Consider the following 27,920-nt stretch of genomic DNA (forward strand, 5'->3'; position numbering starts at 1 on the left):
GCAGGTTCCGGGCTGCTTAGGTTGGCACCGGTCCGTGGTCCCCGGGGGCGCAGTCGCAGCGCTCCCGCCCTCCAGGCGTCAGCGAGTGCGCGGTCCAGTGCGGCCGGAACCTGGCGCAACTCCTAGAGCGGTCCTTGGGGAGACGCGGGTCCCAGTCCTGCGGCTCCTACTGGGGAGTGCGCTGGTCGGAAGGTGAGTGATCCCCTGTCGGGGACCGGGGGACTTGGGAAGGACAGTTCCCGGACTGGACGGCCAGAACGCTCTCAGGGATTTCAGCTGGCCGGCCATATGGCCCTGTGGGTCGTCGCGCCCGGGCCAGGGACCATTCTGTACATAGGATCGTGCTTGGCTCTCACGGAACGCGCCCACACGCAGGGTCCCGGTGTCGAATCGTCTGGTGGAATCTGCCCTCAACCCTATGGAGCGGGTGCTGGTATCATAGTCATATTACAAGTAGGAATCAGCGGGCCCAAGGTCAGTCTGTAAAGGGGGTACCGGGGTTTAGGCCCGTGCGCTGCCCAGCGCTGCCCTGAAGGCGCGGCTGAACCACTGGTTTGCGCTGCCTTTGTCAAGGACATTGTGGCACTGTGGAAAAAATGAAAAATCAGCTTCTCTAACCTATAATCTCTCTGGGAAAAAAAAAAATCAGCTTTTTTTTTTTTCCCCGAGACGGAGTCTCACTCTGTCGCCCAGGCTGGAGTGCAGTGGCACGATTTCGGCTCACTGCAACCTCCGCCTCCCGGGTTCAAGCAATTCTCCTGCCTCAGCCTCCCGAGTACCTGGGATTATAGGGGCGTGCCACCACGCCTGGCTAATTTTTTGTATGTTTAGTAGAGACGGGTTTCATGTTGGTCAGGCTGGTCTCAAACTCCTGACCTCGTGATCCGCCCGCCTGGGCCTCCCAAAGTGCTGGGATTGCAGGCGTGAGCCACTGCTCCCGGCCCTCTTTTTCTTTTTTCTTTTTTTTTTAGAAGAGTCTCACTCTGTTGCCCAGGCTGGAGTGCAGTGGGGCAATCTCAGCTCACTGCAACCTCTGCCTTCCAGGTTCAAGCGATTCTCCCCCCTCAGCCCCTTGAGTAGCTGGGATTACAGGCGCCTGCCACCATGCCCGGCTAATTTTTGTATTTTTAGTACAGGTGGGAGTTTCACCATATTGGCCAGGCTGGTCTTGAACTCATTCTTCTTCCTTTCTTTTTCTTTTTTTTTTTTTTTTGAGATGGAGTTTCACTCTTATTGCCCAAGCTGGAGTGCAATGGCACAATCTCAGCTCACTGCAACCTCTGCCTCCCGGGTTCAAGCTATTCTCCTGCCTCAGTCTCCCGAGTAGCTGGGATTACAGGTGCGTGCCACTACACCCAGCTAATTTTTGGTATTTTTAGTAGAAATGGAGTTTCACCATATTAGTCAGGCTGGTCTCAAACTCCTGACCTCAGGTGATCCGCCTGCCTCGGCCTCCCAGAGTGCTGGGATTAATGAACCACTGCGCCCGGCCAAAAATCAGCTTCTTTAACCTTTAATCTCTGAAAAAATAAATCAGTTTAACCTTTAATCTCCGAAGATCACAGCCAAAGAAATACATGAAAAGGAACAAGTATTAAATAATATATACTTCTAGCTGTGCTGTTTATAGTTTTGGGAAAAAAATGGAAATAACCTAAGGTCCCAGAAATAGGAAAATGGGCACAAAAGGGTATGCAGGCAATGGTTTAGCTGCCGCATGAATACACACTGAATACACTGTGAGATGTTGTCTGTTAGAATGCCCAGCACGGGGACTGTCCACATGGAAAGAGGCACAGGAAAAAAAGTGAAAACATTATAAAATAACTTCTTAAAATTAAATAATGTACACGTCAAAAATATCAGAGCCCACTTGACCTGGTATATACAGTTTAATAACCACATGGCTCTTTTTTCCTGTAGGCCTGGGTAGGTGCATAGTTTCTAAAAAGGGAGAGAACTGTCACTGCTGTGGATGGGGTGCCAAGGGAAGTGCCTGGGGTCAAGTGAACAGTGACACAACTGCAAGTCAAGAGCCTGTGTTGGAGTCTTTCCCCACTATTTCAAATAGTATAGAAAATAGAGCTGAGTCACTCAAATAGAGCTGAGTTAGTCACTCAGCTCTTGGACCTCAGATTCTTATTCTTAACCGCTAGGGGGATGGAGACAGAAGTCACAAACTCACATGCCACCAGCCATATGATGTAAACATGTAAACTGGGCCAAGGAATACAAAAGGGAGTGGTGAGCTGGGGACACTGAAGAATGGATGCCCTGTCTAGAGGAGTGAAAATGAAGCATTTCATACAAACAACATGATTTCGGGCAATCACTTTGGGAATCAGGATAAGGTGTTCCCCCAGTCTGCAGAAACACTGGCAACATTTACAAAGGTAAATCATTTCATATCACTCTATTTTCTTTTTCTTTTTTGAGACAGAGTCTTGCTCTGTTGCCCAGGCTGGAGTGCAATGGCACAATCTTGACTCACTGCAACCTCCACCTCCCAGGTTCAAGTGATTCTCCTGCCTCAGCCTCCCAAGTAGCTGGGACTACAGGCACATGCCACCATACCCGGATAATTTTTGTATTTTTTAGTAGAGATGGTGTTTTGCCACATTGACCAGGCTGGTTTCAAACTCCTGACCTCAGGTGATCCCCCCACCTCGGCCCCCCAAAATGCTGGGATTACAGGTGTGAGCCACCACAACTGGCGATCATTCCATATTACTCTCCAGCTTAAGAGGCTCCAAGGGCTTTCTGTCAGGCTTAGAATAAAATCCTCACCCCTACCCTAGGAGGGGTCAGGTCAGACCCCTCCCACCTCCCTGACTGCATCTACCACCATCCACTCTTTTTTTTTTTGAACCACAGTTCAGCCAAACAGGCTTTCTTTTTTTTCTTTTACTTTCTCTTTTTTCTTGAAACAGAGCCTAACTCTGTCACCCAGTCTGGAGTGGAGCAATCCTCTAATCTCAGCCCCCTGAGTAGCTGGGATTACAGGCATGCACCACCACACCTGGCTAATTTTTAAAAATCTTTGGTAGAGATGGGATCTCACTATGTTGCCCGGGCTGGTCTCAAATTCCTAGGCTCAAGTGATCTCCTGCCTCAGCCTCTCAAAGTGCTGGGCCTTCTGCTTCCCTGGGCTTTGCCAGGCCTCCCTATGCATTGTGATAGCCAAAGTTTGCTTTCTACAAAGTCACCTCCAGGCAGTGACTGTCCACCAGGGCACTGTAGAGCCTCCCAGCTAATGATGAAGTCACTCACTCTCCTCTCTTTTTCCTTTAAGATAATCCCTTTCCAGACCCGCCATTTTGGCTCACCCTGTAAGTTACAGCCCCACTTCTCACTGCCAAGTGTGGGTGTCACTGCTGGCTCAGGGAGCATGGATCCTGTAAACTTGCCTCATCGGGAGGCTTTGAGGAGTGACCCCCAGGAACTAGACAAGTAACTTGTTCTTCACAATCACTGCCCTCCCAAGAACATCCAGGATTTCAGCCTCAGTGCTAAGACAACCATGTCTCTCCCTGACACATGCTCGCTGCTGAGAATTCTAGGAAAAGCAGAGGGCTGTGCAGGCGCCCCTGCCCCTAGGCTAGGAGAGCTGGCAAATGCCTGGAGACCCAAAGGCCTCATCCTCAGGGCGGCCAACTCTTCTGTTTTAGTGATATACAGACTATCTTTTATTGTGATTTATAGTGCAACTTACCGGTTCAAACAATACTACCTGTATTCATAAACTTTCTTTTTCCTTTCCTTCCTCACTGCCCAGCTTTAGGTTCATTCTTGTAAGTGTTGCTGGTGTCAGAATAGGAACCTCCCTGCGCTTTGAAGGGATGAATGTGACCTCTCCCACATTCTCCGGTGCTGTGATGTACCTTAAACACAGCAAGGTACTTGGACACAAAGCCTGTGCCTGGAGCACTTTCAGACAGACAGTGCATGGCCCTCGCTACAGACTCAGTGCCATTGTAGATGTTTCTGCATGGAAAATACATAAACACAAATATCTGCAGTTGCCAATCCACCACCATCTTGCAGCCCCAAGAGAGCCCCGGGAATCCAGGTTCCTTTGGTATTTCTGCTCCCTGCCCTTGGTGCATAGCCTCCATCCCCAGGACGACAAGAAGGCTGACTGAGCCCTAACATCATCCCACAGTCCAGCTGGGAAGAGAGCCAGCGACAAAGCCAGAGGGAGCTAGCTCCCACACCTCCCAGCCCCAGCTGAGTTCGCTTCTTGAGGGTATTTCTTGGAAGCCCCGCCTGTGACTTCTGCTGACACCTCACTGGCCATCTCAACTGCAAGGCAGCCTAGGAAATGTAGTGCTTACCTGTACACGTGGATTCCTGGAATCAATTCAGGGTCTGTCCTTGGGGAACCAGAGTGGGGATATTCAGTCACTAAAGATGCAGGTTCCCAGCTGTCCAGTGAAGTCAAGCGAATGGGGAAGGATTTGAAGTCACCTTTGGGTGTTTGGAGTGATCAGAGCTGTCTGCCCTCTTGGGGAGTGACAGTGCCCCACTCTGTTAAGTCCCATGCCTGCCCCCAACTCAGCTTCAGCCACAATGATGTAGCCTCTTTTCCTTTCCATCCACAGGGCACCTGGCCTGGGTGGAGCCCACTCCTCAGCACCCACCTCACTTCTTGCAGTATTCTGCAGACCCCAGCCCTGTGCCTGTGCTCCTGGACAGCTGGAGATAAGGAGTGGGCCCTGGAAGATGCTCATTCAGGCCCTGCTCAAGATTCCAGTCCTGGTGGGGATAAGCACCACTTTTGTGTGTCTCTGTGCTTTTTGTTTTGCTGTAAAGACACACTGATAGGTTCACGTTGTCGTTTGGACACAACATGCGCGATGCGTGTCTTCACACTAAGCCCTAGTCACACTCTCTGCATTGTTTTTTTATCCCATTTTTTCCTACTGTGGTACAGAACATCTCACATAAAATTGACCATTTTAACCACTTTTTTTGTTTGTTTGTTTTTTGTGTTTTTGGACAGAGTCTCGCTCTGTCTCAGCCTCCCGAGTAGCTGGGATTACAGGTGCACACCACCACGCCCGGCTAATTTTTGTATTTTTAGTAGAGACGGAGTTTCGCCATGTTGGCCAGGCTGGTCTCGGACTCCTGACCTCAGGTAATCCACCTGCCTCAGCCTCCCAAAGTGCTGGGATTACAGGTGTGAGCCACGGTGCCTGACCTCATTTTAGCCACTTTTAAGGGTAGAATTTTCTGGCTGTTTTCATTCATGTACTGATAGACACTTGGGTTGCTTCCATGTTTTAGCTGTTGTGGAAAATGCTGCTTTGAACATGGGTGGGCAAGTGGTTTTCAAGACCCTGCTTTCAGTTTTTTGGGTTCAGAGTAACGAATGGAATTGCTGAGTCATATGTTAATTCTCATTTTTCTAATTGTAATTTTTGGGGGCACAGCACCTCTCCAGCAGCGGCAGCACTCGACCTTTCCCCAGCGGTGCACGGGGTTCCAACTTCTCCGCATCCTCACCTACGTGTGTTTTGTTTTTTGGTAGTAGTAGCCATTCTAATGCGTGTGATATGGGATCTCATTGTGGTTTTGATTTGCATTTCCCTAATGATTAGTGATGCTAAGCATCTTTTCATGGCTTACTGACCATTCATACATCTTTGGAGAAAAGCCTACACAAGCCTTCTGCCCATTTTTGCATTGAGTTGTTTGCTTTGTTGTTGTTAAGTTTTATCTGAGCTGTTTTTTTATGGTAGGGAGAGTGGGTTTGTTGGAGTCTCCTTGTATCTCCCAGAAGGAAGCCAGAATTTCAGAGATGGCCAGGAGGGGGTGAGGCCAAAGGCTCCCCTGGGGAGAACTCACGTTTTTCCAGAGCCCCATTGTGTGCCAGCCACCGCACATAGCAACTGTCTCTCTCTCACTCTTCTGGGCCATGCTGTGACTTTGTTGATGAGGAGGTTGAGGCACAGAGGGGTGGAGGGATGTGCTGCAGGGCCCACAGCTACAATGGGCAGAGCTGGAAATTGCACCAAGTCTGTCTGATGCGGGGGTCTCCTCTGCTCCTCTGGCCTCCGCTGCATCCCTGGAGAATCTCTGAGACTTCTGGTTAGAGCCTGGGTCTAAGCCAACTCCCATTATTTTCAAGTGAGGGGAAGGGCCGACAACTGCCAGTGCTGGCCCACCAGAGTCTGGCACCAGCCGAGGAGTGCACGCACCCATTGGTGGTGTGGCGGTTCACTGATCCCCCAGCCTTCTGCTCGATCTACGGGGAAAACTGGGGAAGGCAGGAAGGCCAAGGAGGCTCAACTCCTGCTTCCTACCGTGGCTCATTTCCTGGGTCCTTTGCTGTATGACTGTCTGGATGGAAGGTTCAGAGTCCTCTCAAAAAAGGAAAAAAGTATGGGTTTTGACATCCTGCGTGGCTTGTCCTCTGAGGCCTAAATCTCCAGAAGATTCCTGGCCTCTCTTGAGAGGTCTTTCTCTGATGTGTTTGCGTGTCTGTCAGGAAGCAGCAGTGATGCCTAGATGTGGTACATTCGACCTCACCTATGCCTCTCCCCACCCCCTCTGGGTTCGTTTTGTCTTCCAGATTGCTGGACTCGCTGAAGAGAGACTACGCAGGAAAGCCCCAGCCACCCATCAAATCAGAGAGAAGGAATCCACCTTCTTACGCTATGGCAGGTAATGATTCACTATTGTGGAGTAAGACTTTTTTTTTTTTGAGATGGGATTTTGTTGTATTGCCCAGGCTGGTCTCAAACTCCTGAGCTCAAGTGACCCTCCCACATTGACCTTCCAGGTGGGAGTTAGACTCTTAATCAGAAATTGGATACATTGTTGTAAAAAATCCAAGCCACGTGGAAGTGTATAAACTATCTGGAATTATCTTGTTTTCTATGTTCTCACTTGTTTCATTGTTCCTTTCGACTCCCTCCAGAATTTAGGTTCCTCAAAAGTGGGGCCCTGCCTATCCTGTCTTTGCTGTGCCTCCAGGCCCTGAAATTCTCCCTGGGCTGTAGCAGGGGCTCAAGTGAATGAACCCCAGGAGGCATCTTGGGTAAAAATTCAGTACGATTCTATCTTTGCTTTTGCAACTGCTTATCATGCACATATACATGAACATGCAATCTCTCAACTTTTTAATTTCACCTAACGATATAACATGGAGAGCCTTTCGTGTTAGAACGCACAGGTTCACCTTACTCTATACATTATGGTGTAGATTCGGATTTTCGCCCTTGGCACCACTGACATTCTGGGCCAGATAATCCTATGTTTTGGGGGGTCATCCTGTGCACCCTGTTTAGCACCTAGCACCATCCCTGGCCTCTGCCCACCAGATGCCAGTAGCACCCCTCCCCCACCGGCTGTGACAAACCAAAATGTCTCCAGGCATTGAGAAACGTCCCCTAGCAGGCACAACACTGCCCCAGTTGAGAACCATTGGTGTAGGTATTTCATTTGCATCTATTCTCCTGTTAAGCCCCTAAGTATAGTTCCTTTATTGAAACAAGAGTCTGAGAAAGTAAAATTAAAATGTTAACCATGAATCTAACTTATGGAATTCAACCTTTGTAGCCAGCTCAATGCCCTGAAACCCATTGCTTCAAACTGATACGTGTATCTTTTCCTTAAAGTGTCATTATGAAAAATTTAAATCAAGAGTTTAACATCTTCTTAAAGGTGACCAGGGTAAATTTAATTAAGCAAATCACCAGGCTGCCTCCCAGACGAAGTCAGTATATAAGCCTGGAGACTCTTTCCAATGAGGAAAATACTGCTTCAGAAGCCCCTGGTGTGAACGATACTGCCAGTGCCAGGAGGGCCTGACTCTTCCTAGAGTCCTCTTTGTTATCAGCATCACCACTGAAAGATGGGCTCCATGTGGCCCTGCCTTCCCATGAGACCAGCGGGTCTGATTCCTCATGTTTTGTTTAAGTGTCAGATTTGATGGACTGGGGGAGATGGAAGCAGAACTGTGCCACACTGAAAGGTGCCTGTAGCTGATATCTGCAAATGTAGGGTTAGCATGGAAGACTAATTCCAGCAGTTCTTTATTTTGGTGTTAGGGAGCTGGTCTAAACCTTCTTACAGAGGATAACCAAATTAGGTTGGGCTTTTAAAAGATTTAGTGGTGGTATTTTTGAGGAGATATAATTTGACCCATTGTATTGTGATGTTGAGCTATGAATAACTGGATTTTTAAAATGCCCATTGCTTTAAAACTGCCACCTATTAGAAAGTTTGGTATTTCTGGGGCCAGGTGCTGTGGCTCATACCAGTAATCCCAGCACTCTGGGAGGCCAAGGTGGGCAGATCACCTGAGGTCGGGAGTTCGAGACCAGCTTGACCAACATGGAGAAACCCGGTCTTAACTAAAAATACAAAAAATTATCCGGGCGTGGTGGCGCATGCCTGTAATCCCAGCTACTCAGGAGGCTGAGGTAGGAGAATTGCTTGAACCCGGGAGGCAGAGGTTGCAGTGAGCTGGGATCGTTGCTCCAGCCTGGGCAACAAGAGCGAAACTCTGTTTCAAAAAAAAAAAAAAAGAAAAAGAAAAAAGGAAAGAAAAGAAAGTTTGGTGTTTCTGGCCAAGTGCGGTGGCTCATGCCTGTAATCCCAGCACTTTGGGAGGCCAAGGCGGGTGGATCACTTGAGGCCAGGAGTTCAAGACCAGCCTGGCCAACATGGCAAAATCCCATCTGTACTAAAAATACAAAAAATTAGCTGGGCGTAGTGGCACACATCTATCGGGGGAAATTCAGCCAGATATTGGGCGAAATTCACCCCCAATATTTCACGTAGGTTCTTTTCTATATTTCCTAAGTGTCGGCCGGTCTGAGAAATAAACGGACAGAGTACAAAAGAGAGAAATTTTAAAGCTGGGTGTCCAGGGGAGACATCACATGTCGGCAGGTTCCGTGATGCCCCCAAGCCGTAAAACCAGCAAGTTTTTATTAGTGATTTTCCAAAGGGGAGGGAGTGTACAAATAGAGTGTGGGTCACAGAGATCACATGCTTCACAAGGTAATAGAATATCACAAAGCAAATGGAGGCAGGGCGAGATCACAGGACCACGGGACGGGGCGAAATTAAAATTGCTAATGAAGTTTTGGGCACCATTGTCATTGAGAACATCTTATCAGGAGCCAGGGTTTGAGAGCAGACAACCGATCTGACCAAAATTTATTAGGCAGGAATTTCCTTGTCTTAATAAGCCTGGGAGCGCTACGGGAGACTGGGGCTTATTTCATCCCTACAGCTGGACCATAAAAGACAGCTGCCGCCCCGAAGCGGCCATTTCAGAGGCCCACCCTCAGGGACGCATTCTCTTTCTCAGGGATGTTCCTTGCTGAGAAAAAGAATTCAGCGATATTTCTCCCATTTGCTTTTGAAAGAAGAGAAATATGTCTCTGTTCCGCCTGGCTCACCGGCAGTGAGAGTTTAAGGTTATCTCTCTTGTTCCCTGAACATTGCTGTTATCCTGTTCTTTTTTCAAGGTGCCCAGATTTCATATTGTTCAAACACACATGCTCTGCAAACAATTTGTGCAGTTAACACAATCATCACAGGGTCCTGAGGCAATATACATCCTCCTCAGCTTATGAAGATGATGGGATTAAGAGATTAAAGTAAAGACAAGCATAGGAAATCACATGGGTATTGATTGGGGAAGTGATAACTGTCCATGAAATCTTCACAATTTACGTTCAGAGATTGCAGTAAAGACAGGCATAAGAAATTACAAAAGTATTAATTTGGGGAACTAATAAATGTCCACGAAATCTTCACAATTTATATTCTTCTGCCATGGCCTCAGCCAGTTGCTCCATTCGGGGTCCCTGACTTCCCACGAAACACACCTGTAGTCCCAGCTAGTCAGGAGACTGAGGCATGAGAATCACTTGAACCTGGGAGGCAGAGGTTGCAGTGAGCTGAGATCATGCCACTGCATTCCAGCCTGGGTGACAGAGTGAGACTGTCTAAAAAGAAGAGAGAGAAAGAGACAGAAAGAAAAGAAAATTTGATATTTCTTAGCTTCAATTACTATGATGCACCTGAACATTCAATTTTCATCTTAGTCTTCATTGAATTTAACAGAGAGAGGTTGTTCTTCAAGAGGAACTGTTTCTTATCCTGATTTAGGTAAGAAAGTACTCATTGTCTATGCACACCAGGAACCCAAGTCTTTCAACGGATCCTTGAAGAATGTGGCTGTAGATGAACTGAGCAGGCAGGGCTGCACCGTCACAGTGTCTGATTTGTATGCCATGAACCTTGAGCCGAGGGCCACAGACAAAGATATCACTGGTGAGTCATGGGATAAATGCTCTATTTATAAAAACCATCTTTATGTTTTTTACTTTAAAAAATGTTGACTTCCAGCTGCAAAATGGCATTATAGAAGCAAGCTAGCTTCACTTTCCAAAAACAAATAGATAGCACTGGGATTATCACCAGCAGTATCCCAGAAGTCAAATATGAAGATGAAATAGTTCCCAAGACCACACATAAGTGAAACAACTCCAAGCAGACGGTAAGAGATTGGACTATCATATCCACGACACCCCTCCCCACAAACTACCCAGCACCAGCTGTGTGGGAAATTTCCTCCCAAGTCACAGGTTCTACACTGGAAAAGAGATCAAGGGGGACAATCAGCTTCTCAATTTTCTGGGGTTCCCAGAAACAGGCAGGAAGGAGACCTGTTCCTGCCTCAACCCACAGGAAGCATCAGGAGTGCCTAAAGGGAGAAATATCCCTGACAACAGCCAGAGACAAAGGAGGGAGATGGGAATATTGTCCCCAGCCCTGGAAACTCTGATCTGTAACTTAGCCAAAGGAGATGCCAAACCAGAGTGGCTGTTCAGCAGCACCACACTGTAGGAGGTACATTCTGCAGGTTTCCTGGGCATGAGCTGCTAGCCAGCCTTCCCACACTACCATGCTATCCCCTTTGGAACCTCTCATATTCAGGACTGGCACACTCTGAACAGTAGGTTACTAGAGCTGAGGCAAACGTGGGCATAAACCACCATCTAGTGCCAAAAAGCAGGTGGTGGCTTAGTAGAGGAAAAAAAAAAAATTTAATAAGAAAGTTGCAAAGACTTTCTAAGCAAATATATGTAATAAAAATGAAAACAAGTCAGACATAGAAGACTGAAATAAATAGATGTCATCCACAAGAAACAACAGTAAACAGGGAACCATGACCTCTCCACACAGACAAAGCAAGGAACCAGTGACTGAACCTAACGAGACGGCACTGTTTGGACTCTCTGACCAAGAATTCAGAATAGCACTTTTAAGGAAATGTGGTAATCCTCAAGATCACACAGAAAAGCAGTTCAGAAATTTATCAGTTAAATTTTACAAAGAGATTGAAATAATTTTTAAAAAATCAAACAGAAATCTTGGAACTAGAAATACATTTGCTGAAAAATTCATTAGAGGCTCTCAACAGCAGAATGGATGAAGCAGAAGAAAAAATCAGTGAACTCAAAGGCAGGTGATTTGAAAATACACAGAGGAGAAAAAAGAAAAAGGTATGGAGATTTCTTACAAAATATAGAAAATTACCTCAAAAGACCAAATCTAAGAATGATTGGTGCTTAAGAGGAAGCTGAGCAAGAGCAAGGCATAGCAAGCTTATTCAAAGAAATAATAACAGAAAAATTTTCCAAAACTTCAGAAAGAGATAAATATCCTGGTAGAGGAAGGTCATAGAATAAACAGATTTGACTCAAATAGGACTACCCCAAGGCATATAATTATTAAACTCTCAAAGGTCAAGAACAAAAAGAGGATCCTAAAAGCAAATAACATGTAACAGAGCTCCAGTTCATCTGGCAACAGACTTCTCAACAGAAAACATATAGGCCAGGAGGTAGTGGGACATTTTCAAAGTGCTGAAAGAACAAAACTGTCAACCAAGAATACTGTACCCAGCAAATCTAGCCTTCAACTCTGAAAGAGAGAGAGTCTTTCCCAAACAAAGAAAAGCTGAGAAAATGCACCACCACCAGACCCACCTTACAAGAAATGCTAAAGGGAATTCAATAAGAAAGAAAAACACTAATGTGCAAAAAGAAAACATTTGAAGATGTAAAACCCACTGGTAAAAGTAAGTACACAGAACACTCTAATACTGTAATTGTGTACAGTCCACTCATTACTAGTATTAAGTCTAACAGACAAATCTATCAAAAACAATAATCACTACGTGACCTGTTAAGAGCCAAAGATAAGCAATATAAAATATGTAAATCAAGACACAGATACTCAAAAATGTGGAGGTGAGCATGAAATTAAAGCGTAGAGTTTATTTTTTTAGACCTGTTTGGCATTGAACAAGACATCCAGCCTCTCTTGGGTGTCAGTTTGCTCTCTGGTAAATTGGGAAATACACCAGTCTCACCAGTTGTTATGAAGAAAGGTGATGTGTGTAGAGCACAGCACCTGCTAGGTAGCAAGTGCTCAATCAGCAGCCCTCCCAGACTGCTTCTCTTTCCCTAGCTCGGACCCAGGGTGCAGCTTCTGGTCAGGTTGCAGCAAATGTCTTTGACTTGTCTGAGGAGTCCGGTATACACAGTGCTACTGGGATGGTTGGGATGGGCTGTGGATGCCCACCTAGGAGTGAGAATGTTTGGCCTCTTCCCCGACAGGTACTCTTTCTAATCCTGAGGTTTTCAATTATGGAGTGGAAACCCACGAAGCCTACAAGCAAAGGTCTCTGGCTAGCGACATCACTGATGAGCAGAAAAAGGTTCGGGAGGCTGACCTAGTGATATTTCAGGTTTGTTTTTCTCTAATTAATATATTGAATCAGATTCATCTTATGTACAAACTCTTTCTGAATATTGAGTTTTGTGCTGCTTCTGGAAGTGGCATCAATGTTTTGAGCACAGTTGCACACTTACTGAGCAAATATTGTAACCTGGTTACAACACCTAGTTACAACATTTCACCTAGTTACACCACTTCACCTAGTTACAACACTTCACCTAGTTACAACACTTCATCTAGTTACAACACTACTTTAAACACTGTACGTAGATGTAACACTACTTTTTTTTTTTTTTTTTTTTTTTTTTTGAGACGGAGTCTCGCTCTGTCGCCCAGGCTGGAGTGCAGTGGCGGGATCTCGGCTCACTGCAAGCTCCGCCTCCCGGGTTCACGCCATTCTCCCGCCTCAGCCTCCCGAGTAGCTGGGACTACAGGCGCCCGCCACCACGCCCGGCTAGTTTTTTGTATTTTTAGTAGAGACCGGGTTTCACCGTGTTAGCCAGGATGGTCTCGATCTCCTGACCTCGTGATCCACCCGCCTCGGCCTCCCAAAGTGCTGGGATTACAGGCGTGAGCCACCGCGCCCGGCCGATGTAACACTACTTTAAACACTTTACCTAATTGGGTAAAGATATCCACGTAGCCAATATCACTCACTCCAAATCCCGACTGCCATGTAAATAGGAATGAAGGATATTTCCATTATTCCAGTGGTCCAAGAATCATCTGAAACCTGCCAGTCTTGTTGCTTCCCTTCTCTTCCCGTTCCTGCCCTGAGACATTCTGGGGCTGCTTGAGAACCACATTTATCTGCACAAATGTTTATCAGGGTAAATCAGGCCAAATGCATCTCCTTAAATATCCTGCCTTAAATATCCTGATCATTAAGAGGAAAATCTCTGGTTTCTACCCTCTCAGTGGTTGCTTCACCCCCAGCCCAGCCACCTTCCTGTATTTGTTCACAAGGAGGTGATGCCACTGCAGAGTGAACTGGCCCAGCAAAATGCCCTCCAGGAGTGCTGACTCATCAGGCCACTTCCCGCCACTGCAAGGAAGATGTGCAGGCATGGCTGTGGCTGTGTAAACCTGGCAGCAGAGTACGCACATGAGCTTTGAGGGAATTGTTGGGTGACAGAAATTCCTGTCCAACTAGAAGGAAAGGGGAATCTATTATAAGGGCTCTGGTCACTTGGGCCTCCTGGATCCCAAGGACAGAGCTGTAGCTGCTCTCGTCCACAGATTCCCATCTGCTCCTTTCTGCCTCTTGGCTCTGTTCTCTCTCACTGCTTGCCAGGGACTGGATCCCCTAGATCCAGAATTTCCAACCAAGGGATCTGATTGGTTCAGATCATTTCTGTTTTCCAACCCTGCTTGAGGATGCGGAGTGGGCAGGAGAACGAGAGCACTGTTCGCATGAGTCCGCCATGTGAGGGCAAGGCAGGGGGTGAGCGGCATGTGACCACTTTCCAGACAAAACCACCTTTCCAGAATGATGAGGTTCCCAAGCCTTCATAAAAGCAACCTGCATGTGCGGGAAGAGGGCTGCCTCATCCCTGCCCAGGCTTGCCTCTGCACACCCCTTCCCGACACCAGCCCTTTCTTTACTCAGTGACCTTGAGCTGCTAATCTGACCAAAGTGCAGGACGTCCTTTGTCCTAATTACAGGTGGGTGGACTCATAGTCCTCAGGCCTAGGTGACCATGTGGTTTACCATCTCCGTCTTAATACCATGCCAGTATGACGGGCCTGTATCCTGGGGTGCGTGGTCCCAGCAGAGCCACGCTGAGCTCTCTGCTCTGCTTCTCCTGTCCCCCTTGGGTCGGCCGGCCACGTGGAGCCCGCTTTCCTCCTCGCACCCACTCCACTCCCATAACCCGGTGGCTGGGTAGGCTAAGACCTGGCCTTTCTATAATGGCCTTTCTTTTGTTTCACTTCATTTCACTCCATTTCCCTACTTTCCCTTTTTTTCTGATAGTTTGTCCAGAGGGTCTGCATTATAAGTTATTCTTTTATTCAACATTAATAAAAATTTCATTCATCACTACTGCACTACTAATATCAGAGCCCACCACTCACTGAGCATTGATTCTGTTTTGGGCACTGTGGTGTGTCTTCGAATCCTCACCAGGATGCTGTGAGCTGTGAACTATTAGTAGCCCTATTTGATGAATCAGGAAAAAGGAGGCACAGGGAGGTCAAGTAACTTGCCAATGTCACACAGCAGCAGGTCGTGGAGCTTGGGTTTCAATGCCAAGTCCTGAGTTTGTTTTATATGGAAAGCACAAGAGACATTGGCTTCCACCTTTGGTAACAGATGATTGCCTATGTTTATTTCCCTTCCCAGGCGGTAACACTGGATGTAATGTTAGGGCATCTATGGGATAGGGAGATCTTAGCGCTGGTCTAAGGAATACAAACATGACTTTAGTTGGTGTCTAAATCCATAGATGCTCAGCACCGAACTCAGTCTGACTTCCAGATGCTAACAACACACCCCAGGCAGGCGAAGGGGCATGCTTTTCCATACTCTTCCTTTTGACTGGCTTGATCACAGACTGCTGCTCCAAAGCTGGTGTTACGCACAGCTCCTCGTCCCCTCCCTGCCTGCCCAGGGCCAGCATCAGGGGCTGTCATCACTGGGGGATGCAGAGCTACCTGTAACAGCAACAAGGACCATTGTCAACTCCGTTCCCGTCTGACACCCACACTGCACCTTTCAGAGCTGACCATAAGGGTTACCCTCACCTGCCCAGCTGCCAGGGAAGAGGAGGGCTGTGGGCTTCATTCCGAATCACCAGATAAACTAAACTAGGAAACCTGAGGCGAGCCGCAGCCTCAGTTTCTCTTTGGTGTTGCCGCCCACAGTTCCCGCTGTACTGGTTCAGCGTGCCAGCCATCCTGAAGGGCTGGATGGATAGGGTGCTGTGCCAGGGCTTTGCCTTTGACATCCCAGGATTCTACGATTCCGGTTTGCTCCAGGTATGTGCTCTTGGATAAGGATCACTATGGATAGTTGGAGGGAGGGGACAGAGGATGCGTCTTCTATCAAGTTATATTTCTAGTTTCCTTCCTTTTCTTAGCAAATATCGATTGAGCACCCACTATGTACAAAGCACCATGTGCTGCACACGGGTGGACACAGCATCGTTTCTGAAATCATGGAGCTTTTTGTCTGGTGGGGCTGCGAACACATCCACAGCATACTACACGCATGGCAAACAAGGGAGTGGGTCAGGTGTCAGGTGACGGGGGACCTGGGCAACCTTATGTGGGCAACCCGGTGGCCAGCCCTGGCTCCAGAGAGAGTATCTCCCTGGTGCAGAGCCCAGCCCTGGCCTGGCACAAGTTCACCCCCTTGAGCATCATGTGCCTGCTGTGAGAAAAGACCATGCGACACCCACGTGGCAGGATGAGGAGGGCATGGAATCTGGTAGATGTGCCACATGTGGTAGCTATGAATTCTTACTAAAACAATGATTTTTAAGGCTGGGTGCAGTGGCTCACGCCTGTAATCCCAGCAATTTGGGAGGCCGAGGAGGGTGGATCACTTGAGGCCAGGAGTTCAAGACCAGCCTGGCCGACATGGTGAAACCCCATCTCTACTAAAAATACAAAAATTAGCCGGGCATGGTGGTAGGCGCCTGTAGTCCCAGCTACTTGGGAGGCCGAGGCAGGAGACTGGTTTGAACCTGGGAGGTGGAGGTTGCAGTGAGCCAAAATCGCACCATTGCATTCCAGCCTGGGTGACAAAGCGAGACTCTGTCTCAAAAAAAAAAAAAAAAAAAAGGAACGATTTTTAAATTCTAAAAGCTTCAGAAAATAAATGCACGTAAGGGAAACATACTGAGTAACCAAGATGTGTCTTGGACCATGAATGGTGCTACCACTTACTGAGCAGCCCTGTGTGCTGGGAACCTTGTCCTGTGGTCAGTGCCTCGGCCGTATCCATCACACATGGTGTCATGGAAACCAGGTTTCCACCAGCAACCTGGGCATGTTAGAGCTTCTGTGTCTGCTTGGTCCATTCACTTGGATTGTCTCCTCCTCCTCTTGGGATGTCATTGTCACCTATGGATGGGAGTGTTGCATTTGTCCATCCCTGGAGGGTGTCCACACGCATGTTCCCTGCTGGCTGTGCTGAGCCCGTGTGCTGGAGGCTCAGCAACATTTCTGTCCTCTTCTGGAGTCCACACAAATGCATCTGCTTTCTCCCTTGCAGGGTAAACTAGCGCTCCTTTCCGTAACCACGGGAGGCACGGCCGAGATGTACACGAAGACAGGAGTCAATGGAGATTCTCGATACTTCCTGTGGCCACTCCAGGTAGACCAGCTGCGAGTGGCTCCCTTGCTTGTTGGCACACGCACACACAGACACACACATGCACACATGCATACACACACACACGCACACACATACATGCCCTCAGCTCCCCGAGGGGTGAGATGAGATGGGATGGAAGCGTGATGCCCCACACCATTTTGACTCCCCTGGATACAAGAAAATTATAACATTTTGCCCCTTTTAAATGCTTTACTTGACAGATTTGAAAAGCTTGACCAATAGGGAAAACATGCCCTAATTATAGCTTTTGATATGGTTTGGGCAGAAGCTAAGCCAAACCTGCTTAGCTTGGTCAGCAGAATGGCCCCAAGGTGGCCCTGCGTGTGTTGTGATACGTGCGGGTGGAGGCCATCCATATGGCTCTGGCAGTGCTTGGTGAGGGCAGCACTGCCCTTGGACCCTGGCAAGTGGCACCCCAGGCCCTGCATTCTGATGGCCGCATGCTGGTCTCTGCTGGCCATGCCAACCCCCACAGGGGCAAGGGGCCTATGGAGCCAGCACACACCCACCTCCCAGTCCGCAGGCCCCTCCCAGGCCTGCTTCCCCAGGGGACCTCTTGGTGCCTGCGTGAGTGTCCCTGGGCCTGAAATGTGGCCGAGTAGTGGCCACCTGCCAAAGGGAAGGTGGTGGGCAGAGCAGTTCCAACGTGCTGGGGTGTCCCACGAAGGAACCCCTGGTGAGGGGTGGCAGAGGGAGGGAGTGGGGAGCAGACTCCAGGTCAGGGGCTCCAGGGAACCCAGAAACCTAGGGGTCAACTGTTCTTCCAGGTTGTTTAAGGGAGGTTTGTCGAGACAGGGGGAGAGCTCGTTCTTGAGGGGTAGGGAGTTTGCTGGGAAAATGCACGCGTCACCCCTTTTCTGTGAACTCTCTCTAGGTGCACGTGCCTTGCCCATGTCCTATTGGTTTGGTATTTTTTAATTTTCTATTTGTCAGTGCTCTTCATATATCAGAGAAATTAATCCTATTATGTCCTTTCAAAACACAATGATTTTTCCTTCTACAGGCAGTGCACATTGACTAAGTTCATTCCTTGCTTTTGTTGTTGTTTGCTATTATAAATAGGATTTTGTCTTCAATTATATCTTCTAAAAGTTCTTTTGATTGGTGAAAGCTATTGATTGCTGAATATTGGTTTTTGACCCCGACCATTTGCTGTTTTCTCCTCCTAATCATAATTTTTTCTTAGTTGGTTTCCAGTAATAAAGTCATGTTGTCTGAAGCTGGGTGCGGTGGCTCACGCCTGTAATTCCAGCACTCTGGGAGGCTGAGGCAGTGGATCACCTGAGGTCAGGAGTTTGAGACCAGCCTGGCCAACATGGCGAAACCCCATCTCTACTAAAACACAAAAATTAGCCGAGTGTGGTGGCGGACACCTGTAGTCCCAGCTACTTGGGAGGCTGAGGCAGCAGAATCGCTTGAACCTGAGAGACGGAGGTTGCAGTGAGCCAGGATTGCACCACTGCACTCCAGCCTGGGCAACAGAATGAGAATCCACCTCAAAAACAAGCAAACAAACAAACAAATAAATAAAATGATGTTGCCTGAGGAAAAAAATGTGGATAGTGGTGTGTGGGCCTCTCACTCCCCACCTGACAGGGCAGGCCTGGATGAGGGTGTGGGTTTTAAAGGAAGTAATGCAGAGGATTGAGTGTGACATTTTTAGAAAAAAAGTGGTCCTCTTTGAAAGGAAAAAGTACGTGATTCCAGTTACTGATAGTCTACTGAAGGAAATGATAATTTATAAACCTGACCTTGCTTCTTCACAGGCCAACTGGTCTCTTATGTGTCATTAGCCAAGTTCAAATTCTTCTTGCTTTTAAAAAAATCTTTTTTTTTTTCAGTTTGCAGAAGTACATATTATGGCCAAAAAAAAAAGAGACAATATGAAATATAAAAAGAGAAAATCCCTTTAATCCCTCCCACCTCAGAAAGAATCACTTTAAATGGTTTGATTTATTTTCTTAGGGCCTATATATTTTCTCACATACATAATTTTTATTATAGGTTTATTACATTTACTGCTCTTTTACATGAATGGTATATCATAAATACGGCTTAAAATTTGTTTGTTATTTTCATTTAACAGATATCTTGAACAAACTTCCATGGTATATATTATAGCTAGAATAACCTCATTCTGGAATAATCTATAGTGTGAATGTACCATAATTTGCCCAATCAAGCAGAACTATAATGTTTGGCATCTGAATCAGTTGCAAAGATTGTAGGTTAATTGCAGTTATAAAAATAGAGCTTGGAAATTGCAACTGCCCCAAGTTCTTCACGGCTCTTATGCAAGGCTGTGTCCTAAAGCCATAGGGAAGTTTAGCTTTCAGTTGCCTGTAACATTAAGGTTGTTTCATGATTTTTTGAAGGTTTGTTTCACACCATTTCCCCCCTTAAATCATTTAACTGAATGGTATGTAACAGGTGTAGTTTCTAATGAGTTCTTTTCTTCCCCTGTGGCTTTAGCATGGCACATTACACTTCTGTGGATTTAAAGTCCTTGCCCCTCAGATCAGCTTTGCTCCTGAAATTGCATCCGAAGAAGAAAGAAAGGGGATGGTGGCTGCGTGGTCCCAGAGGCTGCAGACCATCTGGAAGGAAGAGCCCATCCCCTGCACAGCCCACTGGCACTTCGGGCAATAACTCTGTGGCACGTGGGCATCACGTAAGCAGCACACTAGGAGGCCCAGGCGCAGGCAAAGAGAAGATGGTGCTGTCATGAAATAAAATTACAACATAGCTACCTGGGGATACTTTTTTCTTTCTGTTTTTTGTTTGTTTTTAATTTTAGCTTTAAGGAGCACATGGCCAGTACTGTTTCAGGGGAATATTGGGTGGCGCTGGGGTTTGGGCTTCTATTGATCCCATCACCCAAACAGTGAGCATAGTTCCCAATAGATAGTTTTTCAACACTTCCTTTCCTCCCTTCCTTCCCGCTTTTGGATTCCCAGCATCTATTGATCCCGTCTTTTCACCCCTGTGTACCCAATGTTTAGTTCCCACTTATAAGTTAGAACATGGGGAATTTGGTTTTGTTTCTGTGTTGATTCACTTAGGATAATGACCTCCAGCTGCATCCACGTTACTGCAAAGGACAGGATTTCATGTTTTTTTATGGCTGCATAGTATTCCATGGCGTCCGTGTACCACACTTTCTTTATCCAGTCCACTGTTGATGGGCACCTGGGTTGATTCCATGTCTTTGCTACTGTAAATAGTTCTGTGATGAACATACAAGTGCAGGCATCTTTTCATAGAATGATTTTTTTTTTCCTTTTGGTAGATACCCAGTAATGGGATTGCTGGGTTGAAGGGTAATTCTATTTTTAGCAAACTAGAAATATTTAATGAAGTACATGAATGAGTGTCTTCAGAATTGTACACAGTGAGATCAAATATTTTAATAATGAGCTTGTTATGTTGAATTCTATTCTGACCATCACTCACTGAGATTTTCTTTTCTTTCTTTCTTTTCTTTTCTTTCTTTTTTAAAGAGACAGAGTTTCACTATGTTGCCCGGGCTGGTCTCAAACCCCTTGCCTCAAGTAATCTTCCCACCTTGGGCCTCCCAAAGTGCTGGGATTGCAGGTGTGAGCCACCACACCTGGCCCAGATTTTCTTTAATATTTGTCTAATATCTTTCCATCTCCCTATATTCAAGCTTCATGTAATTTTATTTTCTGGTAATTCTCTGAGCATAGAGCTGGATTTGCTAGTTTTTTTATTTTATGACTCAACATGACAGTTTCTATTTTTCATAGAAAAGTTGAATCTGGGCCTGTTGCTTAATTTTCTTCTTTGTCTTTTTAAATTTACATTAGGACTATGAAGTTTTAATTGAACAGCCATTAACATATATGGTTATATGTTGCATGATGTTTCAATCAGTGATGGACTGCATGTACGATGGTGGTCCCCTAAGATTATAATGCCATGTTTTGTTTATTAAAATTTATTTAAGATTTATTTTATTATTTTTATAGATGAGGTCTCACTCTGTTGCCCCAGCTGGGTGCAGTGGCATGATCATACCTCACTAGGCTCAAGTGATCCTCCTGCCTCAGCATCCCTAGTAACTAGGACTACAGGCACATGCTACCACGCCTGGCTAATTATTTTAATTTTTGGTAGAGACAGGATCTCATTATGTTGCCCAAGCTGGTCTTGAACTCCTGGTCTCAAGCAGTCCACCCACCTCAGCTTCCCCAAGTGCTGAGATTACAGGCATGAGCTGCCTGCACCTGGACTAATACAGTAATTTTACTGTACCTTTTCCATGTTTAGATACAGAGATACCTATTATTGTGTTACAGTTGCCTACAGTATTCAGTACAGTAACATCTCTACAGGTTTATAGCCAAGGGCAATAGGCTCTACCATAAAGCCTGGGTGTGTAGTAGGCTGTACCATCTAGGTTTGTGTAAGTGCATTCTATGATGTTTGCGTGACAATGAAATCAACTAATTATGAAATCACTTAATGATACATTTCTCAGAATGTATCTCTTTTGTTAAGTGAAACATTACAAAATTTATTTTTTTGGGCACAGTGGCTCACTCCTGTAATCCCAGCACTTTGGGAGGCCAAGGCGGGCATGCCGATCACGAGGTCATCTCCTACAGGCAGTGCACATTGACTAAGTTCATTCCTTGCTTTTGCTGTTGTTTGCTATTATAAATAGGATTTTGTCTTCAATTATATCTTCTAAAAGTTCTTTTGATTGGTAAAAGCTATTGATTGCTGAATATTGGTTTTTGACCCCGACCGTTTGCTGTTTTCTCCTCCTAATCATAATTTTTTCTTAGTTGGTTTCCAGTAATAAAGTCATGTTGTCTGAGGCCGGGTGCGGTGGCTCACGCCTGTAATCCCAGCACTCTGGGAGGCTGAGGTGGCGGATCGAGACCACCCTGGCTAACACAGTGAAGCCCTGTCTCTACTAAAAATACAAATATTTAGCCGGGTCTGGTGGCGGGCGCCTGTAGTCCCAGCTACCCGGGAGGCTGAGGCAGGAGAATGGCGTGAAGCTGGGAAGCAGAGCTTGCAGTGAGCCGAGATTGTGCCACTGCACTCCAGCCTGGGTGACAGAGCGAGACTCCGTCAAAAAAAAAAAAAAAAAATTAATGGCTGGGCACTGTGGGTCATGCCTGTAATCCCAGCAATTTGGGAGGCTGAGATGGGATAACTGCTTGAGGCCAGGAGTTCAAGACCAGCTTGGGCAACATAATGAGACCCATCTCTACAAAAAATTTAAAAATATACATTAGTTAGGCATGGTGGCACGCACCTGTAATTCCAGCTACTCAGGAGGCTGAAGCAAGAGGGTCACGTGAGTCCAGGAGTTCAAGGCTGCAATGAGCCATGACTGTGTCACTGCACTCCAGCCTGGATGACAGAGCAAGACTCTTTTTAAAAATAGCCAGGCGTGATGGCTCTCACCTGGAATCCCAGCATTTTTGGAGGCTAAGATGGGCAGATTGCTTGAGTTCAGCAGTTTGAGGCCAGCCTGGGCAACATGGCGAAACCCCAACCCTATAAAAAAAAAAAAAAATTAGCCAGGTGTGGTGGCACACATCTGCAGTCCCAGGTACTTGGGAGGCTGAGGTGAGAGAATCGCTCGAGCTGGGAGGCAGAGGTTGCAGTGAGCTGAGATCACACCACTGCACTCCAGCCTTGGGTGACGGAATGAGACCTGTCTCAAAAAACAAATAAATAAATAAAAATAATTTAAAAATCATTAATTGCCAGTTACAATGAAAATTTAAAACTTTTAAAAAATTTAGTCTGATGGCATTGTACCACTGTGCCGTGTTCACGTAACCCTACTAATAATCACCCTGACACACAGCCACATGCAGATGGAGGAACTTCCCTAAAAGCAAGTTTGAGGGATTAAATATCATCTTTGTCATCATATCCTCCTCTTTTCCCTTTTCCTCCTCCTCCTTGTCATCACTACTGAGGACAGCACTGCTGGCTGTGCCCAGGGGCCCTTCTTCCTCAACGCCCCCAGCACCACCCAAAGTCCCCCTCTGTGGAATCGGAGCACTGAGTGTGTTGGCCTCAGGGACACTGAAGGAAGCCGCCCGCCCGTCCTCTCAGCCTTGGAGTCTGTTCAACCATTATCATTCAAACCACCTTCCATCAAAGGTTTGAATACAATGAGCAGCTGCTCCTGCATTCCTCCAGGACACAGGTTCACCAGCTGGGTGTCTGTCAAAGACAATGAGCCTCCGAGTTGGTCCAAACTTGACTCTCCTTGAAGGTCTTCTCTGGCCATCCTCAAAATCCACAGGATGAAATGTGTTCGATGAGGACAACTCACTCGTGTCGCGGCGTTTGGATGGGCTGCGGCGTGGCCGCTTCTGCCGTAGAGACGGAGCCTTCCTGTGGTTCGCGCACTTCCTTCCTGAAGCCTCATATTTCCCATTCCGTTGATACTTGGCCACCTCAACCTGCAACGTGCAGTTTCCAGTGTCATCTTCATCCAAATGCATGAATGCAAGATCCACAGCTTCCCTCTTCCAATGATCGCACAGCCTGTCTCCTTTAAGATGTCCTTGGTTATCTCTGTAAAACTTGACCTTAAGTTCTTCTGTCTGGGGATCGCTCATAATAATGCCAAATGGACAGGCGTGTGAATGCCTCCACGGTAACGACCAGAGGCAAACCGGCACATACACGTTTGTATTTCTCCTTCTTCAGCATGAAGCCTTCCTTTTTCTCCCCTCTTTGTGGGATCAGTGGGTTTGGGGTTTTTCTTGGTGGCAGAGCAGCGCCGTCACCGAGCAGCCGTCGCTGGCCTGATATGCAGCGGTGAAGTCTTCACTGGTTTCTCTTCTGCTCCTGTGTGCTTGCAGAAACCGGGCTGGCTCTTGATTGGGATTGTAGGCTGCAGAGGCTGGGGAAGGGCAGACAGCCTCGGGAGACACGCCGGAAAGGGCGGCTCCCTCGTGCTCCTCAGTGACTCAGGGTTTTGGCCACATAGCTCCCCTCCTCCACCCTCGCTCAGCAGGCTGCATCCGGGGCGGGGCTGGCAGGCAAAGAGGCTGTGTCACAGCCCTTCAGAGCCTCAAGCTGGGGTCCCTAGGGTTTCTGGACCTCAGATCACTGTGAGGCAGGAGGTCCTCCACCCTCCCTCCGGCAACTCTGAAGTATGGGAAGGTGCGTTCTCGAACTGCCGAGGGGCCTGTTCCTGTGTGGGTTGAGAGGATGGGAAGTTGCTGAAATCCAACCTCTCTGAGAGCCGGTGCTGTCACCTTGGCCTGAGTATGCTGAAGACATTAATTCCGGTTCCCAAGCAAAACTGTTAGCAATTCGAGGGCTGGGCTCTTGCCTATGTCTCATCTCCTGTTAGTACCGGGCACCCTGATACATTTTCTGCCGGTTTTTAAGAATTTTTTTTTGAGACGGAGTTTCACTCTTGTTGCCCAGGCTGGAGTGCAATGGCGCGATCTCGGCTCACCTCGACTTCCACCTCCCTGGTTCAAGCGATTCTCCTGCCTCAGCCTCCCGAGTAGCTGGAATTACAGGCATGCGCCACCATGCCCGGCTAATTTTGTATTTTTAGTAGAGACAGGGTTTCTCCATGTTGGTCAGGCTGAACTCACCCGACCTCAGGTGATCTGCCTGCCTTGGCTTCCCAAAGTGCTGGGATTACAGGCATGAGCCACCGCGCCCGGCCGGTTTTTAAGATCTTATTGCTGAAAAACTTAAAATAAAAAATAAATTCAGTATCAGCAGGGCAGCAGGAATTGCCATTAAAAAAAAAAAAAGAAAATTGGAAATGACTGCAGCCAGGTGTGTGTGATTGGGCCCCGCGACCTTTTTCTTAGGCAAACAGGGCTTTGTGGATGCAGAAAGACTTCTTTGGTTGTGTAGTTTGTCTCAGAGCCTCTCGTGGGTGGAGCCTGGTAAAAAGAGGAAAGAGACTCATGTTGCTCAATGTGAGGAAGCACCAGGAATTTTGGAGAAGTTCCCAGCAGCTCAGGAGAGTGGCTGGTGCCTTGTCCCAGGGGAGAGGGAAATAAGCACAGGCCTATTTCTTTCTCAAGACGGAAAAACCGAGCCCCAGAAAATGGCGATAAGATGGGGATGCAGGAAAAAGCTAGCTAATGAACAGTTCAGCAGTGGGCACCGTGTGGGAACCTCTCCTAAGCCGCCCTCCCTCTGATGGATGCATGCTCAAGTGATTTCGTTGGCCCTTAAAGGAAAGTGTTATTCCATCCTGTAATCCTAGCACTTTAAAAGGAGGCCGAGGTGGGAGGATCACCTGAGGTCAGGAGTTCACGACCAGCCTGGCCAACATGGTGAAACCCCGTCTCTACTAAAAAATACAAAAATTGGCCGGGTGTGGTGGCATATGCCTATAGTCCCAGCTACTTGGGAGGCTGAGGCAGGAGAATCACTTGAACCCGGGAGGTGGAGGTTGCAGTGAGGTGAGATCGTGCCATTGCACTCCAGCCTGGCCACAGAGCGAGACTCCATCTCAAAAAAAAAAAAAAAAAAAGACATCTGCCCAAGGGTCATAGCTGTAGAGGGGCAGATGTGGTTTGAACCCAGGGCGTCTGGTTCCTCTCTGGAAGCAACCAAAGTGCCTGTGATTGGGGTAGTGACAAAGCACTCTGAGCCGCTGCATGGCAGATGCTGTGAAGAGTCATCTTTGCCTGTCCCATATCTATTCCCATTTTTTCTGATTGTAACACCTTGTTTTTTTGTGTGTGGTGGGGGAACCATGCCCTTTCAACCAAGCTATGTGGTGTTCATAAGGGTAGCCCCTCCTCCGACCCCAGGAGTGGCAGTTCACAGCCCTGACTGATCACAGTGTTCCGTGGCCTAGCTGTAACCACCCCAGGGAGTGAGACTGAACTCAGGGGTTCATTGGACCTATCAGGAAAGAGAGACCTTTCTTGTTTCTGGACTTGGAGCTGTGATGAAGTAAGTGGGTCAGGGGCCAACACATAGACAGCGTTGGCCTACAAATGCAGCCCAGGCAGAGGACGGTGCAGCCAAGCCACACAGAGAGACAACTTCCTAGTGACACGCTGTGAACTCCTGCATCCACCCCTGCCTGAACTGGAGCTTTTCCTCTTCAGCTCTTCAGTTATGTGAGGCAAGATGTTGCCTTTTTTGCTTAATGCTGTGAGTTGAGTGTACAGCAGTTACAATCAAAGAATCCTAAATAATGCTGCAAGCATGGTGACTATCTACATGGGAATATGCAGTACTCCAGTGAAGACAAAACATAAATTAATTTTGGAATCTGATGACCATAATCTAAAAACATTCATAGAGGTATATAAAAATTATAACAAAATTTAAAGTAGCATATCTCCTCATGAAGCAGGTTAAGTGTATACACAAAGAAGGAGGAGGAAAAGGTGAGAAAGAATCTGCCCTTGTGGGGAAGTGACAGAGGCAGAAGAGGCTGATGCAGTCCTGCATCCAGGCCCAGCTCTGCCAGCAGCTGAGTACCCCTGAACAAGCTCCCCCACCTCTTCGGGCCTCACTTTCCCCATCTATGAAAGAAAGGGAGTCTAGCTTCCATAGCTGCCCCAGCTGATACGCAAGGTGCCAGTGTGTCCTCAGTCCTGTCAGGAGAAACCTTCCCCACTAGAATCCCAGGAGGAGCTTGAAATCCTGTCTGGGATCCTGACGGCCCAGGTGCTGACCCTGCCTCGGGTTGTGTCTGCTAAGAAGTCTGATTTCTGCTCATCTCTCCCCATTTCTTTCTTCCCATAAAGTGGGCTGATGCGCTGGAACGTCGATGCAGCCAGTGATGTGTTTGATGAGAATGTATTGAGAGTAAAGCTGCCCAGAATCCAAGTGTGTGTCATCTGAACTCTTGAATCATGGATGGAAGGTATGTCCTCTGTTGATGTCTCGCAGCCTGAGCTGACAATCTGTAAGAAGGTTTTGTTATCTTCATGTTACAGATGGTGAACCGAAACTTACAGAGCTCAAGTCACTTGACCAGGCTCCACCCCTACAAGAGGCAGCACGCAAACTAAAAACCAGGCGGCCTTTTCCAAAGCTTGTGCTCTGCTCCACTGCTGGAAGGAACCCTTCGGGGAATTGAAGCAGCACTGAACAAAGGCCATTTTTAAGAAGCGACACCAGAAACCTAAGGCGGGGTCCCCGGCTCAACAAGGATCTCATGTTTTGTGGGTCAGAGATTCTTGTGTCGTGTCTGGGTGAGGTCAAAAACCATGCAGAGACTTTCACTTCCTGTTCTGTGGCAGACAAGACATCTGAAAAGCTCTCCTGCAGCAACACTTCTAGATGCCAAGTAAATCACAGCAAGTGCACTTTTAAATGTGTTACTAAGATCATAAAAATGAAGGAAAATGCCCAAGCATATCCCCAACCCCTCACCCCACAACCACCACCACCACAATAAACAAGTTGCTGACAGTGGATTGGCAAGCGAGAGTGGAACCTTAGGCTGCGTTGGCATCAAATACTAATAACCAAGCAAAAGGGAGCAAGACCAGGCCTGGGGGCTGTGCCATTGAGAGGTGACCGCGTGCTGGCAGTCCTCACAGCCCTCGTTCGCTCTCGGCGCCTGCTCTGCCTGGGCTCCCACTTCGGCGGCACTTGAGGAGCCCTTCAGCCCGCCGCTGCACTGTGGGAGCCCCTTTCTGGGCTGGCCAAGGCCGGAGCCGGCTCCCTCAGCTTGCAGGGAGGTGTGCAGAGAGAGGCGCGAGCGGGAACCGGGGCTGCGCGCGACGCTTGCGGGGCAGCTGGAGTTCCGGGTGGGCGTGGGCTTGGCGGGCCCCGCACTCAGAGCAGCCGGGCGGCCCTG

The 27,920-nt window shown here is 47.6% G+C and overlaps 1 protein-coding gene, 1 long non-coding RNA gene and 1 pseudogene across 6 annotated transcripts, besides 7 other annotated features; 2 read left to right on the forward strand and 1 right to left on the reverse strand.

Annotated features, from left to right (window-relative positions):
* On the forward strand, positions 1-19,862 carry NQO2 (N-ribosyldihydronicotinamide:quinone dehydrogenase 2). Of its 4 annotated transcripts, NM_001290221.2 has the most exons (10): positions 1-192; positions 2,157-2,393; positions 3,776-3,896; positions 4,602-4,758; positions 6,575-6,666; positions 10,132-10,296; positions 12,651-12,781; positions 15,637-15,750; positions 16,991-17,092; positions 19,586-19,862. In NM_001290221.2, exons 5-10 carry the CDS (start codon positions 6,660-6,662, stop codon positions 19,760-19,762), a joined length of 696 nt encoding a protein of 231 aa, NP_001277150.1. In that variant the 5' UTR covers positions 1-192; positions 2,157-2,393; positions 3,776-3,896; positions 4,602-4,758; positions 6,575-6,659; the 3' UTR covers positions 19,763-19,862. The 4 variants fall into 4 exon arrangements, with proteins under 4 accessions (NP_001277150.1, NP_001305869.1, NP_000895.2 ...); NM_001318940.2 differs by lacking the exons at positions 2,157-2,393; positions 3,776-3,896; positions 4,602-4,758 and having other exon boundaries at positions 1-474; NM_000904.6 differs by lacking the exons at positions 2,157-2,393; positions 3,776-3,896; positions 4,602-4,758.
* Positions 13,922-14,421: an enhancer, noted in NCBI's record as "H3K27ac hESC enhancer chr6:3014049-3014548 (GRCh37/hg19 assembly coordinates)". NCBI's record gives its function as "activates a minimal SCP1, AML or CMV promoter by ChIP-STARR-seq in primed H9 embryonic stem cells {active_cell/tissue: H9 hESC(primed)}" and the evidence as "EXISTENCE:reporter gene assay evidence [ECO:0000049][PMID:30033119]".
* Positions 17,136-17,637: an enhancer, noted in NCBI's record as "H3K4me1 hESC enhancer chr6:3017263-3017764 (GRCh37/hg19 assembly coordinates)". NCBI's record gives its function as "activates a minimal SCP1, AML or CMV promoter by ChIP-STARR-seq in primed H9 embryonic stem cells {active_cell/tissue: H9 hESC(primed)}" and the evidence as "EXISTENCE:reporter gene assay evidence [ECO:0000049][PMID:30033119]".
* Positions 17,638-18,137: an enhancer, noted in NCBI's record as "H3K4me1 hESC enhancer chr6:3017765-3018264 (GRCh37/hg19 assembly coordinates)". NCBI's record gives its function as "activates a minimal SCP1, AML or CMV promoter by ChIP-STARR-seq in primed H9 embryonic stem cells {active_cell/tissue: H9 hESC(primed)}" and the evidence as "EXISTENCE:reporter gene assay evidence [ECO:0000049][PMID:30033119]".
* On the reverse strand, positions 19,066-23,997 carry HTATSF1P2 (HIV-1 Tat specific factor 1 pseudogene 2; annotated as a pseudogene). The gene has a single exon (NR_033884.3). The product of NR_033884.3 is annotated as an HIV-1 Tat specific factor 1 pseudogene 2 (transcript).
* Positions 23,344-24,543: an enhancer, noted in NCBI's record as "MED14-independent group 3 enhancer chr6:3023471-3024670 (GRCh37/hg19 assembly coordinates)". NCBI's record gives its function as "activates an origin of replication core promoter dependent on BRD2, BRD4, P300/CBP and CDK7 cofactors, and independent of MED14, by STARR-seq in HCT116 cells {active_cell/tissue: HCT116}" and the evidence as "EXISTENCE:reporter gene assay evidence [ECO:0000049][PMID:35650434]".
* Positions 24,170-27,541, forward strand: LOC101927759 (uncharacterized). The gene is made up of 3 exons (NR_152848.1): positions 24,170-24,280; positions 26,860-26,978; positions 27,052-27,541. It is a non-coding gene; the product is annotated as an uncharacterized LOC101927759 (long non-coding RNA).
* Positions 25,582-25,876: a silencer, noted in NCBI's record as "tiled region #12329; K562 Repressive DNase matched - State 5:Enh". NCBI's record gives its function as "represses a minimal TATA promoter and a strong SV40 promoter by Sharpr-MPRA in K562 cells {active_cell/tissue: K562}" and the evidence as "EXISTENCE:reporter gene assay evidence [ECO:0000049][PMID:27701403]".
* Positions 25,987-26,096: an enhancer, noted in NCBI's record as "active region_23881". NCBI's record gives its function as "activates an Ori minimal core promoter by ATAC-STARR-seq in GM12878 lymphoblastoid cells {active_cell/tissue: GM12878}" and the evidence as "EXISTENCE:reporter gene assay evidence [ECO:0000049][PMID:35858748]".
* Positions 27,065-27,224: an enhancer, noted in NCBI's record as "active region_23882". NCBI's record gives its function as "activates an Ori minimal core promoter by ATAC-STARR-seq in GM12878 lymphoblastoid cells {active_cell/tissue: GM12878}" and the evidence as "EXISTENCE:reporter gene assay evidence [ECO:0000049][PMID:35858748]".
* Positions 27,542-27,920: the final 379 nt, after the last annotated feature.

The sequence above is a fragment of the Homo sapiens genome, chromosome 6 (genome assembly GCF_000001405.40).
Source record: "Homo sapiens chromosome 6, GRCh38.p14 Primary Assembly".
Classification (NCBI taxonomy): domain Eukaryota; kingdom Metazoa; phylum Chordata; class Mammalia; order Primates; family Hominidae; genus Homo; species Homo sapiens.